The sequence below is a fragment of the Homo sapiens genome, chromosome 11 (assembly GCF_000001405.40).
Source record: "Homo sapiens chromosome 11, GRCh38.p14 Primary Assembly".
Classification (NCBI taxonomy): domain Eukaryota; kingdom Metazoa; phylum Chordata; class Mammalia; order Primates; family Hominidae; genus Homo; species Homo sapiens.
The window spans coordinates 82,344,273-82,362,128 of NC_000011.10; the positions used below are offsets into that span (position 1 = coordinate 82,344,273).

Consider the following 17,856-nt stretch of genomic DNA (forward strand, 5'->3'; position numbering starts at 1 on the left):
TCTACAGAACTCTCCACCCCAGATCAACAGAATATACATTCTTCTCAGCACCACACCACACTTATTCCAAAATTGACCACATAGTTGGAAGTAAAGCACTCCTTAGCAAATGTAAAAGAACAGAAATGATAACAAACTGTCTCTCAGACCACAGTGCAATCAAACTAGAATTCAGGATTAAGAAACTCACTCAAAACCACTCAACTACATGGAAACTGAACAACCTGCTCCTGAATGACTACTGGGTACATAACGAAATGAAGGTAGAAATAAAGATGTTCTTTCAAACCAATGAGAACAAAGATACAACATACCAGAATCTCTGGGACACATTTAAAGCAGTGTGTACAGGGAAATTTATAGCACTAAATGCCCACAAGAGAAAGCAGTAAAGATCTAAAATTGATACCCTAATGTCACAATTAAAAGATTACTAGAGAAGGAAGAGGAAGCACATTCAAAAGCTAGCAGAAGGCAAGAAATAACTAAGATCAGAGCAGAAGTGAAGGAGATAGAGACACAAAAAACCCTTCAAAAAATCAATGAATCCAGGAGCTGGTTTTTTGAAAAGATCAACAAAATTGATAGTCCGCTAGCAAGACTAATAAAGAAGTAAAGAGAGAAGAATCAAATAGACACAATAAAAAAATGACAAAGGGGATATCATCACCGATCCCACAGAAATACAAACTACCATCAGAGAATACTATAAACACCTCTACACAAAAAAAATAGAAAATCTAAAAGAAAAGGATAAATTCCTCGACACATACATCCTCCCAAGACTAAACCAGGAAGAAGTTGAATCTCTGAATAGACCAATAACAGGCTCTGAAATTGAGGCAATAATTAATAGCTTACCAACCAAAAAAAGTCCAGGACCAGACGGATTCACAGCCGAATTCTACCAGAGGTACAAGGAGGAGCTGGTACCATTCCTTCTGAAACTATTCCAATCAATAGAAAAAGAGAGAATCCTTCCTAACTCCTTTTATGAGGCCAGCATCATCCTGATACTGAAGGCTGGCAGAGACACAACCACAAAAGAGAATTTTAGACCAATATCCCTGATGAACATCAATGCAAAAATCCTCAATAAAATACTGGCAAACCGAATCCAGCAACACATCATAAAGCTTATCCACCATGATCAAGTGGGCTTCATCCCTGGGATGCAAGGCTGGTTCAACGTATGCAAATCAATAAAAGTAATCCAGCATATAAACAGAATCAACGACAAAAACCACATGATTATCTCAATAGATGCAGAAAAGGCCTTTGACAAAATTCAACAACACTTCATGCTAAAAACTCTCAATGAATTAGGTATTGATGGGACGTATCTCAAAATAATAAGAGCTATTTATGACAAACCCACAACCAATATCACACTGAATGGGCAAAACTGGAAGCATTCCCTTTGAAAACTGGCAAAAAACAGGGATGTCCTCTCTCACCACTCCTATTCAACATAGTGTTGTAAGTTCTGGCCAGGGCAATCAGGCAGGATAAGGAAATAAAGGGTATTCAATTAGGAAAAGAGGAAGTCAAATTGTCCCTGTTTGCAGATGACATGATTGTATATCTAGAAAACCCCATCATCTCAGCCCAAAATCTCCTTAAGCTGATAGGCAACTTCAGCAAAGTCTCACATATACACCATGGAATACTATGCAGTCATAAAAAATGATGAGTTCATGTCCTTTGTAGGGACATGGATGAAGCTGGAAACCAGTTCTCAGCAAACTATCACAAGGACTAAAAACCAAACACCACATGTTCTAACTCATAGGTGGGAATTGAACAATGAGAATACTTAGACACAGGAAGGGGAACATCACACCCCAGGGCCTGGTGTGAGGTGGGGGGAGCGGGGAGGGATAGCATTAGGAGATATACCTAATGTAAATGACAAGTTAATGGGTGCAGCACACGAACATGGCACATGTATACATATGTAACAAACCTGCACGTTGTGCACATGTACCCGAAAACTTAAAGTATAATTTAAAAAAATCATATAGATACACCTAATACACTTATTCAGAAAACATTATATTTTATTGAGCCTCTTCCTCTTGAGATGCAGAACCACAGTAATGCAAAATAAAAAATTTGGAGAGCCTTACCAGTAAAATGTAAACAACAAAAAAACCCATTATTTTTCAATAAGAAAATATGTAATTGATATTATTTCCAGAATATTTGTTTATACACATAGAAAATCCGAAAAAAAATTTAAAAAAAGAAAATAAGTCAAGCTATCTCTCTTCACTGACAATATGATTCTTTACCTAGGAAATCCTAAAGACTCTGTCAAAAGGCTCCTAGAACTGATAAATGACTTTAGCAAAGTTTCATGATACAAAATAAATGTACAAAAATCAGTAGCATTTATATAAACCAACAACGTCCAAGCTGAGAGTGAAATCAAGAACACAATCCCACTTACAACAGCCACAAAGAAAAAAATATCTAGGAATACAGCTAACCAAGGAGGTAGAAAAATCTCTACAAGGAGAACTACAAAACAACACTGAAAGAAATCAGAGGCAACACAAAAAGATTTTTTAAAAGTCCATGCTCATTAGTTGGAAGAACCGATATTATAAAAACGGCCATACTGCCCAAAGCAATTTACAGATTTAAAACACTTTGACTTCTATTCTGTTCTGCGGTGAGAAGGTCTATGCAAACCTACCACCCTGAAATGCTGAGGGTGCTGAGAGGTCTAAGAAAGAGGATGACAAATGCCTTTTTGTAGAGAGAAATGTATAATAGGGAATTATAAACAGAAGCAATGTCTCAGGTGGTTGTGAGATGGTGAATCACCACGACTCTCCTCAAAAAGTATTCTTCATATAGCAAGCTTTTCGAGTAAAACCCGTGCAGCTGATCACATCTTCAGGCTTTCTTGCCAAGACTCATGACCACTGAGGAGGATAGGTGTGCATATTGATGAAAGGTTATCTATGCTTCAGGCATTGTTTAAAGAACTAACTCCAGAACACTTTGGTGTGTGAAGGTCAAACATCAGTAATCATGGCATCTTTGCTTCAAAACGACATCACTCTTGCCATGTAACACGCTGTTTTCCTACATAATCCCTCCCCTGCCTTTCTACCTGTTCATTTCTTCCCAGACCTTATTTCTTTGCTATTGATCCTGGTCTGCATAAAGTTTATTTCTACTGTCTTCATATATGCACCTACATTTTCTTATACTCCTAGACTTTTCCACTGTGGATCCCTACTAAAATCTATCCTTGTACTGCCATTTTTTTTTAAAGGAAATGTGTCATTTGTCCTGTGAAATGTCCCACATTTTTTATTTAACTGATCATTTTCCCATGGTATTTAGCTTTTTTCTTTTACCTCTCACATTTCTAGAACATTAGTAGTTAGATCTATGTGCTTGACTGCACTCAGGGCTTTGTTTGTTTGTTCATTTTTGTCTTGTTTTGTTTTTGCAAGAATACCTTATACCTCAATGATGAAACTGTATACCTATACACCTTCTATTATATCTTATTAGGAAACACATCATGGTTGATTGCCCTACTTCTAGTTTATAAGTGTTTAGATTGATTATTAGGCTCAAGTGTTTTCAGTGTAATCCATCCATTTTCTTCACCTATTAGTTTTAATACCCATTGATAATCTTTGCATAAACTATTTTTCCCCATTAGGAATCTCAAATAGTAATTTTCTAAATCCATCATTCCTTCTGTGTTTATTAACTACAATTCTTCTACAAATAAGAACATTGCTTTCTCACCATTTCATTGCCCTGAAATAAAATTCACAAATGCCTGATTCATTATTTTATTGATTTTCAGACTAATAAGTTGGTGCCAAAATAACCTCCAAATATAACAAAATATTTTGTGGGTTTTTTTGTGAGTTTTGTTACTCATAGATTTATCTAGGTTGTTATGTTTCAAACCATTGTCATTATTCTCTTTCATGTTCAAATTATTGCATTTTAGCTAGCAGGAGCCCTTTATATGAATCCTAGATCATTTTCAAAAATCCTTGAGACTTTCTGAGAGCTTCTCTGCTTTCTGAAACAATAAGATATTCCAGGCTCATTACATACATTTCCTGTCCCAGACTGAAGTCCTAGCTCCTAGTTTCCTTGCATGGAAAATAATATTCAGAGATCACAAACATACACAAGATGTAACTATTGCTACTGAATTTTCCACTGCTTGTAAGTCCATTTTAGCAGACAAAGTTACGAAATAAGCATTTTTAAGAGAAAACTAAACAACAAATTTGTGCTGATATCTCCAATTCATATATAAAATCATAGTAAATGTTTAATTATCTGATTTTCTATGTTTGTATTTTTTCTCTTATGCTGAAAACCTTGGTTGCTAAGACAGGAACAAAATTACTTACCACTTATTGTGTTATTGCCAATAATAAAACTGCAAAAAAGCCAGTTTGATGTCTTAGTGATTTTTTTTAATGCTTAGCATGTATCAACATATTTAAAGTTATTTAACTTTTTTTGTATATGGTTATGCAACCAACCTGATATTTAAGTTCAGTTTTGCAGCTTTGGGGATTGCTTCAATGCTTCTTCTAACTTACTTTTGTTTTAATTATGTAAAATATTTGCATGGTTTTAATCTCTACATCCATTTGATTTCTATATCCATAGTTTTGATCTCCACAATCACCACTATCCTCATCTCTTCATTCAATGAGATATTCTTTCTCCAAAAGCAAAATCTGTTCACTGCTGCCTTCCTCTAGAATAATGCTTTATTGGCTTCTATCTCTATATAGTCCCCTTTCTACTGGGTTCATTCTCTCTGGTTACAAAGGTGATCAAGTCAATTCCAGTAAAAATGAATACTTTACTCACTCCACCCTGAAACACTCTTGGCACATGACAAACTTTATTACACGGTGTATCCAATGACTTCTGATGGGCCATTTATTTAATAGAGAGCCTGGAGGTGCCCTGTATGGTGATAGAAACTTAATAAAATTGCCAGGAATGAATTGAGTGCATCAAACAAAGCTCCGCACCCTTTCCTATAATCATAAGCACCGACCTACTCCTGCCAACATAGGACACCTGCTTCAGGTACTTAAGATAACCGACCACACAGACTCTGGCATCCCCCACTTTCCTAGCCTAGGTCCGTAGATGATTTTTGAACAGGCTCCAGAAAGCAAAGGCTGCCATTCAAAACTGCCTTTTCTAGGAGAACCTCAGGGTCATTTATCTCCTGGTTACATGAACCAGTATTATGTATCAGTCCCTTAATTGCTGCTTCTGCCTAATCTCAGGTATCCAGCCCTCCATACGGCCTTAGTCCAGGGATACACAGATCACGCCTCAGATTGCAGATTAGGGAATGAACCTAACAACATATACCTTCCAAGCAGAGTTTAAAAACAAACAAAAAACCATTTTAGCTGTTCAAATGAATCAAGGATTGCAAAAAGAAAACAAAGTTGTTTCGCATCTCATCAGAAAGAGTTTCAGCCTCTATTAGATAAGAACGTGCTAAATAAATATCTCTAGGGCTTCTTTATAAGAACCTTTACCTGGACCACTAAAGTATTCTTTCTATTCCATCAATTCAAAAGTCATGCTTGTGCTGAAAGGTAAAAACAAGACTCAAAGGACTCACAGTCAGTGTCCCACTCTTTGTCTTTGCTCATGCAACGACCCCTTCCACTGCTCTTTCTGTGTCCAGGCATCGGAAGATCCTATCAAAATGTGAACAAGTTCCCTCAGAGGGGGAGTATGGTAATTTGTTATCACTATCAATGATTAATGTTTTATCTTTAATGAGCTAGTAAACAGCAAGGCCTAGCTGACTGAAGTATATATAATGGGAAAATTTTGATCCAGGAGGAGAGAGATTGTTGTAAATGAGTAGAGATGTAGTCAGAATAATAATCATATATTATGCATAATATTACATTTATCAAACTATTTGTATGTGCCAGACTTTTGTATAAGCACTTTACCCACATCAATTTATTTCATCGCAAAAACTCTATGAAGTGCATTTTATTGTAATCCACACTGAAATATGAAGAAATAAGGTCACATAGAAAGTGAGTGGTAGGGCTGGAAAGGTGCAGAAAATGGGGCCTTTTGAGCACCCAATTATAGCATAATGAATGAATGATGCATCAGAAGTCTAATATGATTTAAAAAAATAACCTCTCAGAGCAAAATTTAACTTTTTATTACCAACCTAAAAAATTACCATCAAAGCCTAGACTCCCTCAGCTAAAAAAATTTTGGCATTTTTTCTTATCCAAATACCTCATTTAAACTGAGGCCCAGAGAGGGGGGAATAATATACCACTGTCTCCGTGTCAATGACAGAACCAGGAACAGAATGCTATTATACTGAATTTTCAGGCCACTTCTACATTCTTATACCCACTGTCCCCACTCTGAACGTGCATTTTCCTGTCATCTGTCTGAATTTCTTTTAATTAAGATCTATAATTTCAGTGGACAGTGTAGTAGAGTGGGAAGAATATACTATTTGTAGCTAAGCAGACTCACATTTACGTGCCGGCGATGAACCTAAAACCAGGCACTCAACCATTCTGGATGTCCCTTTTTTCCATCAGGATATAACTAGTTCCATAGGATGATCATGAGGTTTTACCCAAAGTATGCAAACGTTATATGCTTAGCATCTGGTTGGTACTGAATTCATGCTTTATTCCTCCTCCCTTTAAAACTCAAGTTCTTCAGCCGTATGAGAAACTTACCAGCATATCCTCCTGACAATTCCTAAGGAGAGAGGACAGAGTCTTTATGCATGCAACTTATTCTCTCCTGATCCCTGCTTAATATCTTTTGCATCTGGGAAGGCGTATGTTCCTGTCATTACCTGTCTCTTATTATCCAAGATCACTTTGAATCAGCTTGGTGTTTATCTACCAGGGGAAGTTCTTAGCACATGACACATTAATTGATGTCAGACCTGGCATCCTGGTTTTGATTTATAAATCATTTCCTTGTTTTCTTTTGAAGAGTTCAAGAGGAGAAATAAAAAGTATTCTTCATTTATCTGATTCTAGTGGTCGTAAAACACCCCTGTCCCAACTCTGAGCCAAGCACTTGTGACAGGGACCACCCAACAGCCTCACATCTGAACCACTTGGTCAGACTTGTACTAATCACTTCATCCAGTTCTCTAAGATTCAAGTCTGTTTGCTCGCCTTACATTCAGCACTGTTTCCCCAACTACATACAGCCTTATTTTTCTCGTGGCCACAATTCACATTCTACCTTGGATGGGAGCCTTGACTCACTACTATAGTGCCCTTGCCTGGGACGTTCATGCTTCACAACAGGTATTGATAAAGAAATGTAAAATTTATGAAAAATTCAAAGTTCAGAAACTGAATTTCTTAGAGGTTTTTGATTATAACACCAACTTTCATGCCTCCATTATTTTTTTTATGGTGCTCTCTCTTTAGAATGCTCACTCGTACTCTTTCCTTACTTAACCAAACCTACTTATCTTTTAAGACTCAGAAAAGGCATAATATCTAAGAAAGAAACCTCTCCAAACTTTCCCTACCCCTAGAGGTTATATTAGGTGTCCCATCTTTGCCCTTTATTAACTTCTTGGGCATATTTCTATTATAGGATATAACATTATTTATGGTAGTAATAGTTTCATCCTGCTAACTTAATAGTCACTACATCTCGTCTATCATTGATGGGCATTTGGGTTGGTTCCAAGTCTTTGCTATTGTGAATAGTGCTGAAATAAACTTACGTGTGCATGTGTCTTTATAGTAGAATGACTTATAATCCTTTGGGTATATACCCAGTAATGGGATTGCCGAGTCAAATGGTTATTTCTAGATCTAGATCCTTGAGGAATTGCCACACTGCTTTCCACAATGGTTGAACTAATTTACACTCCCACCAACAGTGTAAAAGTATTCCTGTTTCTCTACATCCTCTCCGGCATCTGTTGTTTCCTGACTTTTTAATGATCACCATTCTAACTGGTGTGAGATGGTATCTCATTGTGGTTTTGATTTCCATTTCTCTAATGACCAGTGATGATGATCTTATTTTCATATGTTTGTTGGCCACATAAATGTCTTCTTTTGAGAAGTGTCTGTTCATATTCTTTGCCCACTTTTTGATGGGGTTGTTTGTTTTTTTCTTGTAAATTTGTTTCAGTTATTTGTAGATTCTGGATATTAGCCCTTTGTCAGATGGATAGATTGCAAAATTTTTCTCCCATTCTGTAGGTTGCCTGTTCACTCTGATGATAGTTGCTTTTGCTGTGTGGAAGCTCTTCAGTTTAATTAGATCCCATTTGTCAATTTTGGCTTTTGTTGCCATTGCTTTTGGTGTTTTAGTCATAAAGTCTTTGCCCATGCCTATGTCCTGAATGGTATTGCCTAGGTTTTCTTCTAGAGTTTTTATGGTTTTAGGTCTTAAGTTTAAGTATTTATTCCATCTTGAGTTAATTTTTATATAAAGTGTAAGGAAGGGGTCCAGTTTCAGTTTTCTGCATATGACTAGCCAGTTTTCTCAACACCATTTATTAAATAGGGAATCCTTTCCCCATTGCTTGTTTTTGTCAGGTTTGTCAAAGATCAGATGGTTGTAGATGTGTGGTGTTATTTCTGAGGCCTCTGTTCTGTTCCATTGGTCTATATATCTATTTTGGTACCAGTACCATGCTGTTTTGGTTACTGTAGCCTTGTAGTATAGTTTGAAGTCAGGTAGCATGATGCCTCCAGCTTTGCTCTTTTTGCTTAGAGAGAGATTTAAAAAAATGTGGCACATATACACCATGGAATACTATGCAGCCATAAAAAAGGATGAGTTCATGTCCTTTGCAGGGACATGGATGAAGCTGGAAACCATCATTCTCAGCAAACTAACAGAGGAACAGAAAAGCAAACACCTCATGTTCTCACTCATTAGTGGGAGTTGATCACTGAGAACACATAGACACAGAGAGGGGAACATCACACACCAAGGCCTGTCAGAGGGTTGGGGGATAGGGGAGGGATAGCATTAGGAGAAATACCTAATGTAGATGATGGGTTGATGGGTGCAGCAAACCACCATGGCACGTGTATACCTATGTAACAAACCTGCATGTTCTGCACGTGTATCCCAGAACTTAAAGTATAATTTTAAAAAAAGACTTATTCAGACCTAACAAAAAAGAGTTATGAACACATCCTCTTTTAGCTTTCCTCAGTATTCCAGCTATGGAATATATATATATATATTCCACATATATATATATTCCACATATATATTCCACATATATATATTCCAGACATATATATACACACACATATATATATTCCACATATATATGTATATGAATATATATGGAATATATATATAATGACCATATATTCCATATATATGGAATATATATATAAAAGTCACTACATATGGAATATATGGAATACATATGGAATATGGAACATATGGAATAACTATATATGGAAAACATACGGAATATATACATATATAAGTCATTACTTTTATATATAAAAGTCACAACATCTCCTGCACTAGACTATGAACTCACTGAGGATAGGGACATGGTCTTTTTTATACCCATACCATTTGTACTACATTGCCTAGCACAAAGCAACTACTCAATGCTTATCAAACTTAACTAAACTCTAATAAAAGGTCAATATGAAGAATTAAAAGAGCAAAAAAGACCATTGGAGGAATTAGGGATCCTTGCTATAAAGTGGAAACACAACTTAGAAGAATTGTGTCCTACAATTATATGGAAAGTAGAGCTTATAAGCAATAAATTTGAATATTTATCTGAGGAGATTTCTAAGTAAAATATCGAAGGTGCAGCCTAGAGTTGCACTCTGATTTCCTCTTGCTGCTTATAGTAAAATGTGACAAGAAAGAAATAAATTGAGGGAAGAAGTATTGAACAAAAAAGAACCAGCACCTATTGATTTGGGAAATTCTCAAAAGACTGCAAAAGACACTAAATTCAGGAAAGACACTAAATTCAGGAGATTCGCTGTCAGGGAAACATGCTGTAGGAGACAATCAAGGATGGGGCTGGACCACCTATTGTTAGTGCCTCAGAAGGATCAAAGGTCAGAGATTCAATCACACAGAAGGCTCTGTGAAGAGATTAGGCATGTAACTCATGGATTCTCTCAGCCATCTAATCATAAACAAAAAATAGTTGGAATTTTCCAGATTTGCAAAGGAGCTCCTTGTCTAATGGAGTAAATCCCTGAGACATACGTGAGAAACTTGTGAGGTTTCGAGAATGTCATGCTCGCAAAAATATTGCCATCTTGGACTGAAAGGGACAAAGAAAAGATGAAATAAAAGTATTGGACTCCTACAATTCTACAGGCATAAAACAGGCTGATAAGACTACTCATATGCAAACATTTCTTACCCTTCATTAAAAAGAAAGTATTATTCAGAAGTCAGAGCCATGATTCCTAAGGGCAAATCCACAAAGTTCAGAGAGTAGGGCTGTGGGCCCAAAATTTGTAATAATTTGTTATAGCAGCAATGGGAAACTCATACCATATAAATAACTGAAATTGTTTTGTTTTTGTTTTTGTTTTGTTTTTTCAATGCCGGATTCCTTCTTCTAGAAAGTAAGCTTCATAAAAATCAAAGATCTTGTGTGCCTTGTTCACCATTGTATGTCCAGCACCAAGAATACTGTCCAATGTACTGCAGGTACTCAATAAATATTTGTCAAATAATTGAATCAATGTATTAATGAGCATAATATATATTAATAGCACAAGTATGGATATAGTTAACCTAGACTGAGAGAGTCATGCAATTCTCAGATCTAATTTCAAGCATTTCTCCTCATCTCTAAAAAGTATAGCAAAATGTACCACCAGTATAGGAATGCATTTAACATTATCCTTAAATAATTTAAGACAAGTAAGTTATGTGCGGATGTTAGTATGTAACTGTGATGGAAGACAAGTGTACTTGTAATATACCTAAAAATGGCCTAGACACATCACTTTATCATAACACTGAATTTTGGTGACCTTAAAGCTAGGATGCTGTCGAAAGTCATGAGCTTCCTGGATATTACTAACCATAATTGGACCACTTTTCTCCCAATAGATAGAAAACAATATTTTATATAATCTTTGAATTTGCTAAAAAAATCCTGAGGCCATTTGCTATTTAGCTGCTGCAGATTTTATCATAGGAAAGTTTATAAGTTGGTTTGTCCTATTATAAGGAAACCGGAGATAATCTGGAAGTTGGATCATTTGTAAACTTTGCATACTTTTACACGAATGCGGAATGTCCCAAGGCCAATTTAATTTTCCAAATCCAGTAGCTCCATCTGTGGGCCATGCTGAAAGCTACTGCTGCAGTTCTGTGCATTCAAATTTTACCAGCTGATTGCCAAAATCAAGCCCAAGAACCATGCATATATATTTTTCATAAATTTTGCTCGTATAAATGGGCTCAGAGTACACCTGAGACAAGAGTAGAGTCTCAAATGGCATGTTCACCCCTTGATCAAATCATTTGGCTGTGAAAAGTAATCTAACTAAAATATTCTCCAATTAAGTCATGGCATGCATGGGAGAATTTTTAAAGTATATGTTTAAAAAAGCTGTTTTTTAATAAGGAGCTGATTTTGATTTCTGATTGTGTTTTGGAGCACACAGATTGCTTCAACGGGAGCAAAAAAAAAGGACAGAAAAAAATTGTGCGTAGGTATTTAGAAAAGGTGTTTACTAGGGTTCTCATGTATTTTCTTACTAACTCTGGTTGACTCTTGTTTCAACTCTTTAAAAAATGCTTGTTGAGTACCTATCAAGTGCCCTGGACTTAATCTCTGGTTAAAACCCAACACGGCAAGACACTTTATCATCTATTTCTCAATGACATCTCTATATTCAGCAACAACTCCTCATCAAAATTTCAGTGGAAGGAAAGAAGAATTCATCTCAGATATGTGTCTAGTTTAAAGGCCAGATAATAATGGCTCGTGTTGATTATCTGTGGCTAAGTGACAAATTACCCCCAAATTTAGTAATTTTAAAGCAGTGAAAATATATTATCTCATTGTTTCTGTGGTTTAGGGATTCAGGTCTGGCTAAGAAGACTGCCTTTGATGCAGAGTCTCTCTCAAGACCACAATCAAATTTTACATCAGGGACGTGTCAACCCAAGGCCTAAATAAGGGATGACTCACTCCCAAGCTCACTCACATGACAGTTGGCAGGTCTCAGGGCCTCAGTGCTGTTGGCTGGAGACATCAGTTTTCTGCCACAACAGACTTTCCATTGGGTACTCACAACACGGCTGTTGGCTTCCTTAGAATCAACCTGCAAGAGAAGAGAGAACACACAAGATGGAAGCCACATCTTGTGTAACCTAATGTCTGAAGTGCCATTCCCTTACTTTTATGGATTTTTATTGATTAGAAGTTAGTAAGTAGGTCCAGCCCATACAAAAGGGAAGGAGATTACACCAGGGGATGAAGAGCAGGAGGCAGGAATCTTTGGAGGCCATCTTAGAGGCTGCCTACGATAGCTTCCTACTAAAAAATTTGAGATTCTCATATTGTGATGGTTAATTTTATATTATCAGCTTGGCTAGGTTATGGTAACAAGTTATTTGATGAAACACTAGACTAGGTGTTTCTGTAAAAGTACTTTTTCCATGTTATTAAAATCTGCGATCAGTGGACTTTAAGTAAAGCCAATTACCCTTCATAATGTGGGTGGGCTTCATCAGTTAAAGACCTTAAAGAGCAAAAATTGGGGTTTCCAGAAAAAGAAAGAATTTTGCCCCCAGACTGCAGCATAAAAATTCTGCCTGAGTTTCCAGCCTTCAAGCTCAAAACTACAACATTACTGTTACCTGAATCTCCAGCCTGATGCTTACCCTACAGATTCCAGTCTGCCTCACAGTCATATGAGTCAATTCAATAAATTAATAAACTGTCTTTGTCTTTTGGTGTCAGATAGGCAGGTAGATAGATAGATAGATAGATATGCATACATTCTGTTGGTTGTGTTTCTCTGGATGACCCTGTCTAATAAATATATAATATGAAAATAATAGTAATATCTGACCTAATTACCACTCAGGATTAGTGTAAGGCTAAAATATAGTTGCATATTAAACAAACATTGTTTTTAGAGTCACAAGAGACCTGCGTTCAAAACCCAGCACTGTCCCTTACATAGTATTTTTCTGACCTTGAGCAAACTTCTTACCTTCCTGGATTTGTATGAATATTTGAGAAAAAGATATGGTATGAAATCATGAGAGAAAAAAATAGCTTGAATATGGTAGTCATTTGATCAAAGTTTGTTTAAAGAATATATATATATGTTACCAAACATAAACTACGTAATTATTATTTTTCATATACTAATTGTTGCTACTACTACTAGCATAGTTTGCTATCTCCAAATAGTACAGATTTTATGTGGATAAAAGAAATTAGCACCAGTTCTCTTTTCACTGTTTGAAATGTTTTTCCTACCAACTGGAAACACAAAAATAAACACCAAATTGGGCATTTAGAGGTAGAATAAATAAATCACAGTTAAAAGCAGTCAATTAATCAAACTTTTGTTTTTAAATCAACGTGTTCTCACATTTGTTACCACGTTAATTATTGTGGCAAGGTTTTTCAAAGTTGCTTAGAAGATTCAGCCACATTTCAGTCCAGATGTGTGTTAGCCTTAATATGTTTTATATGTAAATATTGACAATGTTTCTTTGGGGGCATTTTAGCTATCTCATGTTTCTATTCAGCTTAACAGAACATTCATTCACTTTTTCTCACTTAGACAGTGAAAGCAAGCATTAGCTTGTAAATCATGTCATTACATGAAAAAAAACAATAGAATCAACAGACAATTGGGATTGTGCAAAACTCTTTGTTTAATCTGTCTGGCAGGGGTGAACACCCTACTGGTAGAATATATGTATAATCCTGCCTTAATGAGCTCTATTTACTAACTCTGTTATTTATGAATATATATAATTTATTCAAAATTGTTATCAGTATTTCTCAGTGGGTACATTTATGGAAGCTCAATGTAATATTGTGTGGTGCACATATCAATATACTGAGGTTCAAACAATGATTCCACTAACCATGCTTGTATCCATGTGGTGTTAAGTTATTTAACCTCTCTCTGAGCCTTAGTTTTCTCATTTTAGAGTGAATGAGTCAGAATAAAATACTTCTGTGAGCCTGAGAATAATTGAAAACTTCAAATTCTTCATGTGGAAAAAAAATACGTAACAAAATGTTCTAGGCCAAATTATATTACCCCTTGCTTAATTTATCTGTAAGTCATTAATAACTACATGTTGAACAATTAATGGCTTCTTATTTACCAAACTGTCAAGTGAGTCCTCTAGAAAAGCTCCAAGAAAATGAAAAAATAGTTAAATGCAAATCTAAAGGATAATCACAAAATCACCAGGACCAAATAAATTGTGTAATAATACAATATAAGCATAAAGCATACAATTTTTCAAGTAATTGTTTTTATTATTATTACTCATAGTTGATTCAAGACTTAAGTAGTTCTAGTAAGCCCTCATTACCTGCCCTTCCTTCTTTACTTCTGGTAAGGAGTTTTCAGATCTGAAGTGATTTGATGAAAATAAATGGGAGAAGAGACTATTTAGTTCCAAACTAAAGAATTGGAACTGTGAATTTGCTTTGAAATTATCTCTCTTCTTCATCAGCTGTCAGGGAGATGAGAGCACAGATAGAATGCAGCTGTTTCGGCAACACTCAAAACTGCAGGATGATACTAAGGGACCAAGCACAACCATGCAGCCTTGAAGTACAAATCTTATGTGAAGCACTGGATAATAATCTATAAATCTATTAACACAGAGTTACTTTGCAATGAATTCCAAAACATGTTTCATAACCTCTAACTCTAGTTTTAAGAACTAAAAAAAGGGTAAAATTTATTAGAATTTCTCAATCCTGTAGAATCTCTTATAACATTTTCTCACTCTAGCAATTACTCACAGTCTACAGCAGCTTAAGATGGAAGATCTTGAACCACTGGGGTTATTTCTGTCTCCTTACACACTACCCCGAGATGTTGTCCTTTGAGGATGTACCATATCTGTCTCCCTTTCCTTAAAAATGTAACTAACCATCTTCAATATTCTGATGTACATTAACCATCACGAATAAAAGCAATAGTTAATCAAAAGTGTGGTGCATTGACTTCCATGGGTATATCCAGGAACACAGGTAATATTATTGAATAGAATCTAATCACTTGCTGGGCCACTTTAGGGTTACTGTGCACCTTAAGATTAGCCCAAACAAATGCAAGTTGCATTTTCTGTCTTTCTTGCCTCCACGGAATAAGCACGTCTGGGCAGTAAGCCCGTAGGACCTTGAACATTCATTTTCTCTGTTTTGGATTTCAGTCTGTGTCACTAAGTCCAGTCCATGCTCTCCTTGGCATTCAATCTCATATATCCGGGACAGAAAATAAAGAGGAATAGCCTTCGTTTATGTCTCTAGCCTTAGATGTGTTCTCTAGTAGAGTTCACCAGAGTACTCTGAATTTGGCTTGTGTTTGCCTAGTCATTAATAAAGTGAAAGTTTGTTCTCTGTTTGGCTCTTGTTTCCTGGCATATAATCCTTTGTCAGGAACCCAGAATGGGAGGAAATAAGAAGCATAGAATTCAGGCACCAAATCTTCCTCCTGTGTGTCTAAAATGCCCCTTCCTCAAACTTCCATACTACTTTTATAGGATACTTCTTAAACCTATTTTTTTAATTCAGTATTATAAATTTTTATAAAAGAAGCTTTATATAAATACTAAAATTATTTCTTATAACTAATAGGTAACAATGAGCCTTACATATGGATTTTGATAGTTAGAACTAAGTTGATTATGATTAAGTACAATTTAATTTTTGGAATGTTCCCAATCCTCTGTGCAACTCACAGAAATTATTTATAGTCAACAGTGTTTCTGAGATAAGTTATTCAACATTATAGGCAGAATGGATGATACTTCTAACTCAACCCTTTTTCTTACACCCTTCAAAATAATTGCCAAATTATCTATTGCCTCTTAATTTTAAAATGTAAAATATAAGCAATAATAATAGTACCATAAATTTGTTTAATACTTCAGTGTAGTCATTTCCAGTCAAAAGGCAAAAGATGAATGTTTGCAATGAATTTTCAACTCTACAATTAAATGAGAAAAAAATAATAACAAAAATAGGACAAGCAGGTTTCAATTTTGGATCACAAAAGGCCATTTCTCAAATCAAAATAATAAGAAAACAGTGAATAAGGTAAAAAAAAAAATAGAAACTTTAATCTCATCAGAGGGTTGATGTTGATGATGTTAAAAAGGAAAATTTAACTAAATTCCAAAAAGTTATAAACCCTTTCAAGGCGAATCCTGAAAGCTAAGGAGCAAACCCATCATATGTAAGGAGCTTTGCTGGTGTTATGAAAAAGAAGCAAAATATAATGGCCATACATAAATAACATATTGGATATAATTCTGAAGATTCTCAGATTCAGAGCAAATTCCATATATGCTGCAAATTATTTCCAAAAGTGTGCTCACCAATTACACAGTGGCACATCAAAGACCTGAAGTAGGAAGGCAGAAAGAGAGAGAGCATACTGCCAGGGCTCAGAAAGCCATGAGCAAAATTAAAAAGCAGAGAGAGAGCTATTCAATAGCCCACAAAACTAACAGGTTAACTGTAAAACAGAGATAACCAGAATCTCACTGAGGTTTATATCTCAACCCTTGCTGAATGGGAGTCTTGAAAATACCCTCAAAAAGTTTAATTTCAAATTCCATTTTGTTCATTGCTGGCATATGGGAACATGACCAACTTTTGGATATTAAACTTGTATCCTGCAACCTTGCTATATTTCTTATTAGTTACAAGAGTTTTTTGGTCAATTATTTCGTATTTTTTACAAACACAGTTATGCACAGTCAAAGATATTTTGTATTTTTTTCCCAATCTTTCTTTTATATCCTTCTCTAGTCTAATTGTATTGGTGAGTACTTCCAGTATGACATTGAAAAGCAACAGTGAGATGAGATATCCTTTCCTTGAGATAAGACATTCTTTCCTTGTTCCTTATCTTAGCAGAAAAATTCTGACTTTCTCACCATTAAGTATAATGGTGACTATAGGGTTTTTGTACATGCTCATTTTCAAGTTGAAAAGGTTATTTTCTATTCCTTGTTTGCTGAGAGTTTTATCAAGAATGGATGTTAGATTTTGTCAAATATTTTCCCATCTATTCATATAATCATGAATGGATTTTGATAGAACTAAGTTGATTATGATCTAGTACAATTTAATTTTTGGAATGTGCGCAATCCTCTGTGCAACTCATGTAATTTTTTTTCTTTTCAGCCTATTGATGTGAGGAATTACTTAATTGATTTATTGATTTTTAAAACTTTTTTAAAATTAATTTTTAAAATTAATTAATTTTTGAATGTTGAACCAGCCTTGTATACATGAGGTAAATACAACTTTGTCATGGTATATTATCCTTTTTATACATTCTAGAATTTAATTTGCTAAGATTTTATTGAGGCTTTTTGCATTTGTGTTTATTAGAGGTTTCAGTCTATAGTTTCTTATAATGGGTTTGTTAGGTTTTGGTATTAGGGTAATGCTGGCCACATAAAATGAGTTAGGAAGTATTCCCTCTACTACCTTCTGGAAGAGATTGTAGAGGGTTGGTATAATTTCAACCTTACATGCTGGATACAATTCACCACTGAACCCATTTGGGCCTAGTGTTTTCTATTTTGGAAGGCTATTAA

At 35.4% G+C, this 17,856-nt stretch overlaps 1 long non-coding RNA gene across 1 annotated transcript in view; it reads right to left on the minus strand.

Moving 5' to 3' along the window:
- Positions 1 to 17,856, minus strand: part of MIR4300HG (MIR4300 host gene) — a 524,063-nt gene that overhangs the window by 464,422 nt on the left and 41,785 nt on the right. Inside the window, exons 2-3 of the long non-coding RNA NR_120571.1 lie at positions 12,240 to 12,356; positions 5,654 to 5,732 (exon numbers count right to left, since the gene is read on the minus strand). This is a non-coding gene — a long non-coding RNA (MIR4300 host gene). The remainder of the gene's footprint in view (positions 1 to 5,653; positions 5,733 to 12,239; positions 12,357 to 17,856) is intronic.